General features: G+C 37.8%; 1 protein-coding gene across 14 annotated transcripts in view; it reads right to left on the reverse strand.

Annotated features, from left to right (window-relative positions):
* Positions 1-16953, reverse strand: part of DOCK7 (dedicator of cytokinesis 7) — a 233661-nt gene that overhangs the window by 104576 nt on the left and 112132 nt on the right. For all 14 annotated transcript variants that reach the window (XM_047432967.1, NM_001272001.2, NM_001272000.2 and 11 more), the window contains exon 19: positions 2316-2402. In XM_047432967.1, coding sequence (XP_047288923.1) covers positions 2316-2402 — 87 coding nt within the window. The remainder of the gene's footprint in view (positions 1-2315; positions 2403-16953) is intronic.

Below are 16953 nucleotides of genomic sequence, written 5' to 3' on the forward strand. Positions count from 1 at the left end.
ATGTCATATTACTTGATAACACTAAAAAGTTCAAGTAGGTATACAAACATTGTTTCCAATTAAACAAATCTATTTTCATTTATCATTATAAAATGATCACTTCAAATACTATTAGTTACTTAAGAAAACTGATACTAATTAAGATTTTTTTTTTTTAGTTTTAGTTTGCTTTATTAGTTTGAAGTTCAATTATTGTGGCAGGCATATTAGTAACCTACTTTTGTCCATTATTAATTTATTGTCTTTCAGCTCCAAAGCCTTTGGATATAAGGCAAACTCATCGCCATACCTTATGATACTGGCGTCATTCTTTTACTGGAGACTACCTGTGTAGTTCTAAATAAAATCTATATACTACCAACTTTCTTCCTAAAGACAGCATAGAGGTGCTGTATCTTCTTCTTTTCCCCTACCTCACTGTGCAGAAAAGAATTAACATAGTGGGCTTAAGACAGCTATTCTTTGAAAGTCCTGTTTACAAGTTTGGCCTTGGGCTAATCACTGGGAACTTGGATTTCAGGGGGGTTCCCATTGACAGAGATGGCTCACTGTGCCTCAAACGTTTGTGCAAAACAATATGGTATAAGCTGAACACCTACTTTCCTTCTGGGAATCTGGAATTTTGGTACATGTTAGGCAAAGGGTGCCTACGTGACAAGTAAAAACCCTGGGAATTGAGTCTGTACTGAACTTCTGTGGCAGACAACATTTCACATATGTTGTTTCAACTTGCCCCATGTGATTCCACTGGGAGAGGATTTTTGGAAGCTTATTTCTTGTTTCCTCTGGACTTCACCCCATGAGCCTTTTCCCTTTGTGAATTCTGCTTTCCATTCTTTCACTAAAATAAATCATAGCTCTGAGTATGACTATATGCTGAGTCCCGTAAGTCCTCCTAGCAAATCACTGAACCTGAGATGGCTTTGGGAAGTCCCTCCACACCACCCTTTCTGTGTATAGGTTAGTGAAGCCCTGAATTTCATTTTAAATACTTGCTTCTTCTCCCTGTACATATTCTCCATGGAAAATCACATTTACCAATATAGTTTCAGCTATCGCATTTATTCTGTTACCTCCAAACCCAAACTTCAAACTAATTACAACCACCTACAGGACATCTCCATCTGAAGTACGTAGGCACTTCAAACTCAACAGGTTCAAAAATAAACTCACAGGCACCATAACTGCTTCCCCTTAGCATGGCCCCAAAAGTATTTCTCTCATGTTCTCTATTTAGGGTAGAAATTACCATCCACCTGGACTCTATGGCATTCAAGGTCCTTCACAATCTATTACCAGCCTTCTATCCTTATGTATCATGATTTCCTACACACTTTAAACTATTTTCACACCAGGTCACCTGATGGTCCTTAGACTACTGTAACTCTGTACTTGCTACTCATCATCTGAGTTGTCCACTCTCCCTTTCTCTGAGTAGTAAATGGCTACTTATAAATGCAACATCTCAGTGCCTAGCAAAACAGATAACTCTTCCCTCTGTACTTCAAAGAATTTAGTTAATATATGTAACACTGTACTAATTTTATCATACTTTTTACACTTTCCCATATTACACTGTAAGGTTCTTGAAGGAAAAGCTCTTTCCTCAACAGGTAACATCTCTCATCTCACGGAACTTATCATCTAATGTGGGAAAGAAACAATAAACAAATGTGTATGTATGTGTGTTATATACATACACACAAACAGAAAGAGTGACAGAGTCAAAGCGCAACAGAGAAGCTGGGCGTAGGCAGTAATAAGTGCAGGGTAAGATGACATACAGTAATGAGGTTGCTATGTTTTAAAGAGTAACCATGGAAGGCCTCTCTGAGGGGAAGAGAAACTCCAATTCATAAGTCAAATGAATACCAGGAGGAAAAGCATTCCAGGCAGAGAAAGAGGATGTATAAAACCTATCAGAACTTGGTATATTCCAAAAATAAGGAATTTGGAACAAATGATCCCTAAAAACTCTTTCCATTTGAAATACTCAAGTCTATGAGAAATAAAGTGAGCTGATGATGGTTTCTCAATTCTAATTAATTCTGCCATGTACCAGAAACTTAGAAAAAACATGAAGTCAATGACATTTTGAAACAAAAATGTTTGCTTTTGTTGACATTCAATGACATTTTGTTGATTCTTTTTAAAAAAATCTTCTAAATATTGTATGTTTTTAACTGACATATATTCTCATAAATCTGACAGCAATGACAGATTTATGACAGGTAACAAAACTGACATCACAAGTATTAGATATTACGTTCAATTTATTTAAGTGAAATTTGATAATAAAAATTATTAAAACTCACTTGTGTATGGATAGACGAAACAGCAACAACTTCAACATTAAAAACACCTTTGTGATTATCTACCCATTTCATGCCAGGTAGAGGAACCTGTAAGATATTAAATATAATGATCACAGATGCTTAAGTAGATTATGAACTCTGAAAATAAACAAAAATTACAATATCCCAATGAGAAAAATATTGTGAAAATATATTTTTATTCACTGTAAATAAATTAAGAACTTTTATATTTCATTCTTATTTCAAAATCAAGCAATGTTTTCTACAAAAGAACTAAAAGTCTCCAGGAGCAACAAGCATAAAATAATGCACACAAAATTTCTATCTTCCCAGAGATATACCCCCTTATATCATTCTAAACCTTCATATATGTACATATATGTACATATATATGTACATATATTTTTATACACATTTGTATATACTTAACACCAAACATTATTTTGAAATCTGTTTTTCATTTATTACATTGTGAATCTCTTTTCATGTCAATAAATTCAAATTTACAATATCATTTTAATGGCCTCTAATATTTCATTTTAAACATTTCTATTATATTTTAATTGGGTCTTAAAATATTTGCAAGCAAAAGCCTGTTGGTTTAAGGATCCAAAAACTTTTTTTTTTTTTTTTGAAATAGAGTCTCGCTCTGTCACCCAGGCCGGAGTGCAGTGGCATGATTTCAGCTCACTGCAATCTCCACCTCCCAGGTTCAAAGGATTCTCCTGCCTCAGCCTCCCGAATAACTGGGACACGCCCAGCTAATTTTTGTATTTTTAGTAGAGACAGAGTTTCACCATGTTGGCCAGGCTGGCCTTGAACTCTTGACCTCAGGTGATCTGCTTGCCTTGGCCTCCCAAGGTGCTGGGATTACAAGCGTAAGCCACCATGCCAGGCCGAAAACATTTTTTCAGAAGTAAATTGCTAGGAATGTCAAAGTTATTTCATAAAAAATAACTTTTAAAAGTACATAAATTCTCTCTATTCCTCCTGCTAAGTACAGCTAAAAACTCTGAAACCTGATATATAAATGAACATAAAGACTGAAAGGTAGAGAGAAAAAAGATGATAGGCTAGAGATCTCAGGATGCAAGAAACGACAAAGCAGCATTTCCTGGGTTTTACTTTTGCCTCACATATCCTGGACTGAGTGCTAGAGAGGATGGCAACCCAGAAACGCCAAAAGAAGTGGAGAAACAAAGCCCCAAGAAAAGCCTGCTCTCTCTGGCCAAAGAAATAATATTCCAGCTAGTTACAAGGGAACAAATCCTGGCCCCACTCTCGCCTCCCTACACTGAATGGAGAGCCTAGGCAGCCACCCTTAGCAGCCTGAAATGAGGTACCCCTCTCCCCAACTCATGCTACACACATTGAGGTGCTATCAAAGAAGACAGAGTTGAGAATCTGTCCCTTGCCTGGTGATAGCAAGCCCCCAACCAACAGAGGTGACAGTGGAGGCCATGTGGAGCAGTAACAAGGTGCCCCCCTCCCTCACAACCAGGAAGGGGTCAGCAAAGGCCTAGTGGAGAGCTTGAAATTCCACCTTCACCCAGTAACGAGCCCCCTCACTGGATCCACCCTAGAAAGTAAAAGGAGGCAGAGTGGGTAATGTGGACCTTCACCTCTACCTGACAGCAGCACCTCCAGCCCCCACTGCTACAACAGAATATTTCAGTAAGATCTAGAGTCGCATGGTAACTATAATGTCCTGGATGTAATTAAAAATTATTCATCATATCAACTAGGAAACTCTCAACTGAAATGAGAAAAGACAATCATCAGACACCAATACTAAGATGACATAGATGCTAGATAGACCCGACAAGGATTTTAAAGCAGGTATCATTAAAAATGTTTCAAAAAGCAATTATGAATGTCTTTTAAACAAATGAAAAAAGACTCACCAAAACAAACAAACAAAAAAACAGAAAAATACAAGAGATTTCTTTCCTATGGTTTTATCATTTTTTATCATGTATAGAAAATAAAACCAAATAAATTCAAATCCCCATTACCAAATTTCAACACTAATTAGATAAGAAATTCAATATCTATGACAGGATCAAATTCACACACAACAATGTTAACTCCGAATGTAAACGGGCTAAATGCCTCAATTAAAAGACACAGACTGGCAAACTGGATAAAGAGTCAAGACCCATCACTGTGCTGTATTCAGGAGACCCACCTCATGGCCAAAGGCACACATAGGCTCAAAATAAAGGGATGGAGGAATATTTACCAAGCAAAAAAAAAAAAAAAAAAAAAAAAAAAAAAAAAAAAAAAAAGGCAGGCGTTGTAATCCTAGTCTCTGATAAAACTGACTTTAAACCAACAAAGATCAACAGAGACAAAGAAGGGCATTACATAATGGTAAAGGGATCAATGCAATAACAAGAGCTAACTAACCTAAATATATATGCACCCAATAGAAGAGCACCCAGATTCATAAAGCAAGTTATTAGAGACCTACAAAGACACTTAGACTCCCACACAATAACGGTGGGAGACTTTAACACCCCACTGTCAATATTAGATCAACAAGACAGAAAATTAACAAGGGTATTCAGGACCTGAACTCAGCTCTGGACCAAGCGGACCTAATAGACATCTACGGAACTCTCCACAACAAATCAACAGAATATACATTCTTCTCAGCACCTCATCACACTTATTCTAAAATTGACCACATAATTTGAAGTAAAACACTCCTCAGAAAAGGCAAAAGAAAGGAAATCATAACAGTCTCTCAGACCACAGTGCAATCAAATTAGAACTCAGGATTAAGAAACTCACTCAACTACATGGAAACTGAACAACTTGCTCCTGAATGACTACTGGGTAAATAATGAAAGGAAGGCAGAAATAGATGTTCCTTGAAACCAATGAGAACAAAGACACAACGTACCAGAATCTCTGGGACACATTTAAAGCAGTGTGGAGAGGGAAATTTATAGCACTAAATGACCACAAGAGAAAGCAGGAAAGATCTAAAATTGACACCCTAACATCACAATTAAAAGAACTAGAGAAGCAAGAGTAAATAAAGTCAAAAGCTAGCAGAAGACAAGAAATAACTAAGATCAGAGCAGAACTGAAGGAGATAGAGTCATGAAAAACCCTTCAAAAAAATCAATGAATCCAGGAGCTGGTTTTTGGAAAAGATCAACAAAATAGACCACAAGCCAGACTAATAAAGAACAAAAGAGAGATGAATCAAATAGATGCAATAAAAAACGATAAAGGGGATATCACCACTGATCCAACAGAAATACAAAATGCCATCAGGGAATACTATAAACACCTCTATGCAAATAAACTAGAAAATCTAGAAGAAATGAATAAATTCCTGGATACATACACCCTCCCAAGTCTAAACCAGGAAGAAGTCGAATCCCTGAAGAGACCAATATTCAAGTTCTGAAACTGAGGCAGTAATTAATAGCCTACCAACAAAAAAAGTCCAGGACCAGAAGGATTCATAGCTGAATTCTACCAGAGGTGCAAAGAAAAGCTGGTACCATTCCTTCTGAAACTATTCCAAACAACAGAAAAAGAGGGACTCCTCCCTAACTCATTTTATGAGGCCAGCATCATCCTGATACCAAAACCTGGCAGAGACACAACAAAAAAAGAATTTTCTTTTCAAAAGAAAAGAAAATATCCCTGATCAACATCGATGTGAAAATCCTCAATAAAATACTGGCAAACCGAATGCAGCAGCACACCAAAAAGCTTATCCACCACGATCAAGTCAGCTTCATCCCTGGGATGCAAGGTTGGTTCAACATACGCAAATAAATAAACGTAATCCATCACATAAACAGAACCAATGACAAAAACCACATGATTATCTCAATAGATGCAGAGAAGGCCTTCAACAAAATTCAACACCCCTTCATGCTAAAAACTCTCAATAAACTAGGTATTGATGGAACATATCTCAAAATAATAAGAGCTATTTAAGACAAACCCACAGCCAATACCATACTGAATAGGCGAAAACTGGAAGCATCCCCTTTGAAAACTGGCACAAGACAAGGATGCCCTCTCTCACCACTCCTATTCAACACAGTATTGGAAGTTCTGGCTAGGGCAATCAGGCAAGAGAAAGAAATAAAGGTATTCAAATAGGAAAAGAGGAAGTCAAATTGTCTCTGCAGATGACATGATTGTATTTTTAGAAAACCCCATTGTCTCAGCCCAAAATCTCCTTAAGCTGATAAGCAACTTCAGCAAAGTCTCAGGATACAAAATCAATGTGCAAAAATCACAAGCATTCCTATACACCAATAACAGGCAGAGAGCCAAATCATGAGTGAACTCCCATTCACAATTGCTACAAAGAGAATAAAATACCCAGGAATACAATTTACAAGGGGTATGAAGGACCTCTTCAAGGAGAACTACACATTACTGCTCAAGGAAATAAGAAAGGACACAAATAAATGGAAAAACATTCCATGCTCATGGATAGGAAGAATCAGTATCAGGAAAATGGCCATACTGCCCAAAGTAATTTACAGATTCAATGCCATCCCCATCAAGCTACCATTGACTTTCTTCAGAGAACTGGAAAAACTAAACTTCACATGGAACCAAAAAAGAGCCCACAGAGCCAAGACAATCATAAGCAAAAAGAACAAAGCTGGAGGCATCACACTACCTGACTTCAAACTACACTACGAGGCTACAGTAACCAAAACAGCATGGTACTGGTACCAAAACAGATATATAGACCAAGGAAACAGAACAGAGGCCTCAGAAATAACGCCACACATCTACAACCATATGATCTTTGACAAATCTGACAAAAACAAGCAATGGGGAAAGGATTCCCTATTTGATAAATGGTGTTGGGAAAACTGGCTAGTCATATGCAGAACACTGAAACTGGACCCTTCCTTACACCTTAAACAAAAATTAACTCAGGATGGATTAAAAACTTAAACATAAGACCTAACACCATAAAAATCCTAGAAGAAAACCTAGGCAATACCATTCAGGACATAGGCATGAGCAAACACTTCATGTCTAAAACACCAAAAGCAATGGCAACAAAAGCCAAAATTGACAAATGGGATCTAATTAAACTAAAGAGCTTCTGCACAGCAAAAGAAACTATCATCAGAGTGAACAAGCAACCTACAAAATGGGAGAAAATTTTTGCAATCTATCTATCTGACAAAGGGCTAATAACCAGAACTACAAAGAACTTAAATAAATTCACAAGAAAAAAATAAATAATCCCATCAAAAAGTTGGCAAAGGTTATGAACAGACACTTCTCAAAAGAAGACATTTATGCAGCCAAGAGACACATGAAAAAATGCTCATCATCACTGATCAATAGAGAAATGCAAAATCAAAACCACAATGAGATACCATCTCACACCAGTTAGAATGGCGATCATTAAAAAGTCAGAAAGCAACAGATGCTGGACAGGATGTGGAGAAACAGGAACACTTTTGCACTGTTGGTGGGAGTGTAAATTAGTTCAACCATTGTGGAAGGCAGTGTGGTGATTCCTCAAGGATCTAGAACTACAAATACTATTTGACCCTGCAATCCCATTACTGGGTATATACCCAAAGAATTATAAATTATTCTACTATAAAGACACATACACACATATGTTTACTGCGGCACTATTCACAAGAGCAAAGACTTGGAACCAACCCAAATGCCCATCAATGATAGACTGGAGAAAGAAAATGTGGCACATATACACCATGGAATACTATGCAGCCATAAAAAAGGATGAGTTCATGTCCTTTGCAGGGACATGGATGAAACTGGAAACCATCATACTCAGCAAACTAACTCAAGAACAGAAAACCAAACACCACATGTTCTCACTCATAAGTGGGAGCTGAACAATGAGAACACATAGACACAGGGAGGGGAACATCACACACTGGGGCCTGTTGGGGGGTGGAGGGCTAGGGGAGGGACAGCACTAGGAGAAATACCTAATGTAGGTGACAGGTTTATGGGTGCAATAAACCTCCATGGCACATGTATATCTATGTAACAAAACTACACGTTCTGCACATGTACCCCAGAACTTAAAGTATCATAAAAATAAATAAATAAAAAGAAATTCAACATCTCTGAGGCAAAAAATAAAGATTCTGAAACATTTTTGAAAAAAAAAAAGCCAGCAGAGTAAGTTGAAACCCATCAAAGCAATAAACACTATTAGCTCTTTCAATCTAAAACACTTGTTTTCAGCTTTTAAAAATTTCTTTAAAAATAACAGTTCTCTTCAGTTCTAAAACAAGTGGACCTGATAGATATCTACAGAACTCTCCATCCCAAAACAACAGAATATACAATCTTCTCAGTGTCACATTGCATTTAGTCTAAAACTGATCACATAATTGGAAGTAAAACACTCCTCAGCAAATGCAAAATAACTGAAATAATAACAAACAGTCTCTCAGACCACAGAGAAATTAAATTAGAACTCAAAGAAACTCACTCAAAACCACACAACTACACGGAAATTGCACAATTGCTCCTGAATGACTGTTGGGTAAATAATGAAATTAGGGCAGAAATCAAGAAGTTCTTTGAAACCAATGAGAACAAAAAGACAATGTACCAGAATCTCTGGGATGCAGCTAAAGCAGTGTTAACAGGGAAATTTATAGCACTAAAATGCCCACATTAAAAAGCTAGAAAGATTTTTTTTTTTTTTTGAGACAGAGTCTCGCTGTCACCTAGACTGGAGTGCAGTGGCACGATCTCAGCTCACTGCAACCTCTGCCTCCTAGGTTCAAGTGATTCTCCTGCCTCAGTCTCCTGAGTAGCTGGCATTACAGGCACGTGCCACCATGCCAGGCTAATTTTTTTTTTTTTTTTAAGTAAAGATGAGATTTCACCATGTTGGCCAGGCTGGTCTCAAACTCCTGACCTCAAGTAATCCCCCTGCCACAGCATTCCAACGTGCTTGGATTGCAGGCGTGAGCCACTGTGCCCTGCCTAAAAAAAAAAAAAAAAAAAAAAAGCTAGGAAGATCTCAAAGTGAAATCCTAACATCACAACTAAAAGAACTAGAGAACCACCACCAACAACAACAAAAAACCCAAAGCTAGCAGAAGACAAGAAATAACCAAGATCAGAGCAGAAGTGAAGGAAACAGAGACACAAAAAACCCTTCAAAAAATTAACAGATCCAGAAGCTGTTTTTTTTTTTGAAAAAATTAATAAAATAGACTGCTAGCTAGATTAATAAAGAAGGAAAAAGAGAAGAATCAAATAGACACAATAAAAAATGATAAAGGGGATACCACCACTGACCCCACAGAAATACAAACGACCATCAGAGAATGTACTACAAACACCTCTCTGCAAGTAAGTTAGAAAATCTAGAAGAAATAGATAAATTCCTGGACATATACATCCTCCCAAGACTGAACCAGGAAGTTGAATCCCTGAATAGACCAATAACAAGTTCTGAAAATGAGGGAGTAATAAATAGCCTACCAACCAAAAAAGCCCAGGATCAGATGGATTTACAGCTAAATTCTACCAGAGATACAAAGAGAGCTGGTACCATTTCCTCTAAAACTATTCCAAACAACTGCAAAGGACTCCTCCCTAACTCATTTTATGAGGTCAGCATCATCCTGATACCAAACCCTGGCAAAGAAAGAACAACGAAAAAAGAAGGCTTCAGGCCAATATCCCTAATGAACATCAATGCAAAAATCCTCAATAAAATACTGGCAAACCAAATCTGGCAGCACATCAAAAAGCTTATCACCATGATCAAGTAGGCTTCAACCCCGAGATGCAAGGCTGGTTCAACACACGCAAATCAATAAACGTAATCCGTCACATAAACAGAACTAAAGACAAAAACCACATTATTACCTCAATAGGCTCAGAAAAGGTCTTTGATAAAATTCAGTATCGCTTCATGTTAAAACTCCCAATAAACTAGGTATTGAAGGAACATACCTCAAAATAGTAAGAGCCATTTATGAAAAACCCACAGCCAATATCATACTGAATGGGCAAAAGCTGAAAACATTCCCCTTGAAGACTGGCACAAAACAAGGATGCCCTCTCTCACCACTCTCCCCCCTCCCCCCCCCCTTTTTTTTTGAGACAGAGTCTCACTCTGTCACTCAGGCTAGAGTGCAGTGGTACGACCTCAGCTCACTGCAACCTCCACCTCCTGGGTTCAAGCAATTCTTCCACCTCAGCCTCTCTAGTAGCTGGGATTACAGGCACATGCCACCACGTCTGGCTAATTTTTGTATCTTTAGTAGAGACGGGGTTTCACTATGTTGGCCAGGCTGGTCTTGAACTTCTGATCTCAAGTGATTTGCCTGCCTTGGCCTCCTAAAGTGCTGGGATTATAGGCATGGGCCACTGCGTCCAGCCACCACTCCTATTCAACATAGTATTAGAAGTTTTGGCCAGGGCAATCAGACAAGAGAAAGAAATAAAGGTATTTAAATAGGATGAGAAGAAGTCAAATTGTCTTGGTTTGCAGATGACATGATCCTCTATCTAGAAAAACCCACTGTCTCAGCCCAAAAGCTTCTTAAGCTGATAAGCAACTTCAGCAAAGTCTCAGGATACAAAATCAATGTGCAAAAATCACAAGCATTCTTATACACCAACAACAGACAAGAAAAGAGTCAAATCATGAATGAACTCCCATTTATAATTGCTACAAAGAGAATGAAATACCCAGGAATACAGCTAACAAGAAAAGTGAAGGACCTCTTCAAGGAGAACTACAAACCACTGCTCAAGGAAATCAGAGAGGACACAAACAAATGGAAAAACATTCCATGCTCATGGATAGGAAGAATCAATATCGTGAAAATGGCCATACTGCCCAAAGTAATTTATACATTCAATGCTATTCCCATATAACCACTGTAGACATTCTTCACAGAACTATTTTAAAAAGCTATTTTAAAATTCACATGGAACCAAAAAAAGGCCCATACAGCCAAGACAATTCTAAACAAAAAGAACAAACCTGGAGGCATCACGCTACCCAACTTCAAACTATACTGAAAGGGTACAATAACCAAAACAGCATGGTGCTAGTACAAAAACAGACACATAGACCAATGGAACAGAATAGAGAACTTAGAAATAAGACCAAACACCTACAACCATCTGATCTTCAACAAACCTGACAAAAACAAGCAATGGGTGAAGGATTCCCTATTTAATAAATGGTGCTGTGAGAACTGGCTAGCCATATGCAGAAAACTGAGACTAGACCCCTTCCTTACACCTTATACAAAAATTAACTCAAGACGATTAAAGACTTAAATGTAAAACCCCAAACTATACAAACCCTAGAAGAAAATCTAGGCAACACCATTCAGGACACAGGCACAAGCAAAGATTTCATGACAAAAACATCAAAAGCAATTCCAACAAAAGCAAAAATTGACAAATGGGATCTAAATAAACTAAAGAGCTTCTGCACTGCAAAAGAAACTATCATCAGAGTGAACAGACAACCTACACGATGGGAGAGAAATTTTGCAACCTATCCATCTGACAAAGGTGTAATATCCAGAGTCTACAAGGAACTTAAACAAATTTACAAGAAAAAAACAACCCCATTAAACAGTGGGCAAAGGACATGATCAGAAACTTCTCAAAAGAAGACATTCATGTGGCCAACAAACATACGAAAAAAAGCTCAGTATCACTGATCATCAGATAAATGCAAATCAAAACCACAATGAGATACCATCTCACACCACTCAGAATGGCAATTATTATAAAGTCAAGAAACAACAGATGCTGGTGAAGCTGTAGAGAGATAGGAACACTTTTACACTGTTGGTGGGAGGGTAAATTAGTTCAATAATTGTGGAAAACATTGTGGAGATTCCTCAAAGACCTAGAACCAGAAATACCATTCGAACCAGCAATCTCATTACTGGGTATATACCCAAAGGAATAGAAATCATTCTATTATAAAGACACATGCATGTGTATGTTCATTGCAGCACTATTCACAATAGCAAAGACATTGAATCAACCCAAATGCCCATCAATGATAGACTGGATAAAGAAAATGTGGTACATATACACCGTGGAATACTACGCAGCAATAAAAAGGAATGAGATCATGTTCTCTGCAGGAACATGGATGGAGCTGGAAGCCATTATCCTGAACAAACTAATGCAGGAACAGAAAACCAAACACTGGATGTTCTCACTCATAAGTGGGAGCTGAACAATAAGAACACATGGACACAGGGAAGGAAACAATACACACTGGGGCCTGTCGTTGGGGGGAGTGTGGGGAAGGGAGAGCATCAGGAAAAATAGCTAATGCATGCTGGGCTTAATACTTAGGTGATGGGTTGATAGGTGCGGCAAATCACCATGGCACATGTTTACCTATGTAACAAACCTGCACATCCTGCACATGTACTCCAGAACTTAAAAATAAATAAAAAATAACAGTTCTCAAAGTCTGGTCTGAGAATCAGCAGCACAAACATTATCTGAAAACTGTTAGACATGTAAATACTCAAGCCCCAACCTAGATCGGCTGTCACAAAAACTCGGGAAATAAGGTCCAACAATCAGTGTTACAACAAACCCTCTAGGTAATTTCGATTCATGCTAAAGTGAAAAATGTATTTTATCTTAAAATATTCTAATAAGCAATGGCAATAGCAATGGTGTAATAGTAGCAAACACTTCCGTAGCACTTTCCAAGTGCCTGGCACTATTCCAAATGCTCTCCATGTTATTATATCATTCAATCATCAATACAACCAATTACTGTAAGTCTTAATTATTCTCATTTTACAGATGAAAAAACTGAGGCACAGAAAGTGTCTTAGTCACCTCAGGCTGCCATAACAAAGTACCATAAACAGGTGACTTAAACAGCAGATATTTATTTTCTCACAGTTCTGGAGACTGAAAGTCTAAGATCAAGGTGCCAGCATGGTCAGTTTCTGGTGAGGGTTCTCACCCTGGGTTGCAGATGGCCACCTTCTTGCAACTGGGGGAGAGGGGATGTCAAGCTCTCTGGTCTCTTCTTACAAGGGCACTAATCCAATTATGAAGGCCCCACCCTTATAACCTTGTCTAAACCCAATTCCCTTCCAAAGACTCCATCTCAAAATGCCATCACATTGAGGGTTAGGCTTCAACATATGATTTTTTGGGGGGAAACAATCTGTTCCATAGCAGAGAGATTAAGAAACTTGCCCAGGGTCACACAATTAAGTGTTGGAGCCAGGATTAAAGCCTTAGAAGATTATGCTCTATTGCCGTTCAAAAGCATATAGATTTTTAAAAAAATAACAAAAATCCCTTCATAATCGCACACCTCTTCTGAGAGCTAACTTTGCTAAATTTGGTATATAAATTATTCCTACACAATTACCTACATACAGAGTTGGATTGTGGCTATGTTGTTCAGTAAATAAAACAGAATTAAAAAGAAACAGAGTGTGTATCAGTAGCATGGAGGAGGGAAAGGTTGCAAATTCATGCAGTGAAGAAAGACTTCTTTGAGGAAATGCTGCTGTGTCTACAATTTTAATAAAGAAAAAGACTCAGCTATGTCAAGATCAAGAAAAGAAAAGAGAAAATTCAAAGGGCTGGAGGCAGAAAAAAGCTTGGAAGAAGCTGTCAGTGCAGAGAGAAAGGGATGTAGTAATGATTGTAGACGATGATGCTGGAGAAGTGGAAAAGACCAAATCATTCAGAGATTTGTAGGTCATGTGAAAAAATACTTGGATTATGTCTATGTGCAAGAAAAAGCCAGAGAAATGTTTTATTTGATCATAAGCAATAGAATGAAACCACCTAATTTTAATTTTAAAATTGCTTTATTTTGTGAGAATGGATTTCAAAGAGGTAAGAACTGAATAATATTATAAAGCAGAGAAAGTGAATGAAATAGGAACTACATATAGCAGAAACACTAAATCTTAGTAAAACAATGCCATAAGCTTTTTGTTAAATTCATAAAATAAAGTAAATAATATCATATTTTGGCATACAAATACTTCATTTTAAAAGTAATTTTAAAAGGCTTGTTTTCAGGACACTGTGAATATACTTAAGGCTACAGAAATGTACACTTAAAATTAAAATGATAAACTTTATGTTCTATACATTTTTTACCATAATATTTTTATTTATTTATTTATTTTGAAGAGACAGGTTCTTGTTCAGTCACCCAGGCTGGAGTGCAGTGGTGCAATCAAGGTTCACTGTAAACTCGAACTCCTGCTCCCACCTCAGCCTTCCAAAGCACTGGGATTATAGGTATGAGTCACCATGCCAAGCATTTTTACCATAATTTTTAAAAATCCTAATTTTATACAGTTACAAGGAAGAAGAGTATGGAAAAGGGGAGGAGTCAGGAAGTACCTTGGCTGTAAGGAACGGCATTTTGAAGTTATTTTGATATTAGACAATGCCACTGGCCACCCAGAACCCCATGAGTTCAACACAGAAGGCATCAGAGTCTTCTACCTGCCCCTAAATGCCATGTTTCTAATTCAGCCTCTAGATTGGGAGTCACAAGGATCTTTAAGATTCATCACACACGGTACTCTACGGAAAGGAGTGTGAATGCTATGAAGAGAACCCCAATAAATAGAACATCATTAAAGTTTGGAAGGATTATACCACTGAAAATGCTATCATTGTTCTAACAAAAACCATCAAGCCTGAAACAATAAATTCTTGCTGGAGAAAACTGTGTCCAGAGGTTGTCATGACTTTACAGACTTTATGACAGAGCCAATCAAGAAAATCATGAAATAAATTGTGGATATGGCAAAAAGGAAAAAAAAAAGTGAGGGGTATAGATTTCCAAGGAGAAACTCACAAGCTCATAGACACCAGACTGGAGGAATTAATAGAAGAAGACTTGATGGAGATGAGTGCTTTTAAACCAGTGCCAGACATTGAGGCAGCAAACATAGAAGAAACAGTGTCAGAAAACAAACTGACATTATACAACATGGCAGAAGGGTTATTCAAGACTGCTTTTGACTTCTTTTAAAACATGGACCCATCTGTGCTAAGGGCACTAAAACTAAAACAAACGAATAAAGATTGGCACCACATAGAAATATTTTTTTTCTTTTTTTTATATTGAGACAGAGTCTCACTCTGCCGCCCAGGCTGGAGTGCAGTGGCACAATCTCGGCTTACTGTCAACCTCTGCCTCCCGGGTTCAAGCGATTCTCACGCCTCAGCCTCACAAGTAGCTGGAATTACAGGTGCCTGCCACCACACCTGGCTAATTTTTTGTATTTTTAGTAGAGAAGGAGTTTTGCCATGTTAGCCCTGATGTTCTTGAACTGCTGACCTCAGGTGATCTGCCCACCTCGGCCTCCCAAAGTGCTGGGATTACAGGCATGAGCCACCACACCTGGCCAGAAACACTTTCTTAAAAGAGATGGGGTCTTGCTATGTTTCCCAGGCTGGAGGGCACTGGCTAGTCAAAGGCACAACCACAGCAAAGTGCAGCCTCGAACTCCAGAACTCGAGTGATCCTCTCAAGAAGCTGGGATTACAGGTGTGCCACTGCATCCTGCTCTGGAAATATTTTTAGAGGAATGAAAAAGCAAAAATGTCAGACAGAAATTATGATGTATTTCTGTAAAGTTACACCAAGTGTGCCTGCTTCCCCTTCCACCTCTTCTGCCTCTGCTACCTCTAAGATAGCAAGACCAATCCCTACTCTTCCTCCTCCTCCTCAGCCTACCCATCATGAAGACAATGAGGATGAAGGCCTTGATGACGATCCACTTCTACTTAGTGATAGTAAATATATTTTCTGTGCCTTATGATTTTCTTAAGAACATTTTCTTTCCTCTATATCACTTTAAGAATATGGTATATAATACATTTAACATACGAAATACATGCTAATTAACTGTTTATGTTACTGGTAAGGCTTTCAGTCAACAGTAAGCTATTATATTAGCAGTTAAGTTTTTAGGGAGTCAAAAGTTATACGTGGATTTTTCAAGTGCATGCTAGGGAGGAGGGATGTCACCCCTTACTGCCATGTTGTTTAAGGGTCAACTGTTTACAAAAGTTTTGGCTCTTAATCAGGTGGCTTATTTCACATATCAAGCAGCTATATTATATGTCTACAGTCAAATCCAAATTATCACCATATTCTTGATCTGTGAGCATATACAGTATGGTAGCTAGAAGAAAATCATGAGTCTCCCTTTAGAAAGCTGAACTTGCACTGCAATTAAGTAAAAACAAATCCTTAACTTCAACAAAAATATATTTTCTTTTAAAACATCTCCTTTGAAACATAATGCTCTCTGACAAATGGCCACCTTTCTATATAACAAAGTCACATGAAAAAGTCATCACTGAAAAGATGTGTCCCTGGAAAAATGAATGAAAGATTGGGAGGAGGGAGAGTCATATTTCTTACTCTACTGTCTTTATTCATTAATCTAATAAGTATATATTGAGTGTCTATGATGTGCCAAGTACTGTTCTAAATACTTGTAGACAGCAATGAGCAAGACAGACAAAGTTCCTACCCTCATAGTGTTTATACTCTATAGAGAATAAATAAGCAAAAAACATTTTAAATACAAAGTCAATGATAAATGACATGAGGAAAAATAAA

Source organism: Homo sapiens, chromosome 1 (genome assembly GCF_000001405.40).
Source record: "Homo sapiens chromosome 1, GRCh38.p14 Primary Assembly".
Taxonomy (NCBI): domain Eukaryota; kingdom Metazoa; phylum Chordata; class Mammalia; order Primates; family Hominidae; genus Homo; species Homo sapiens.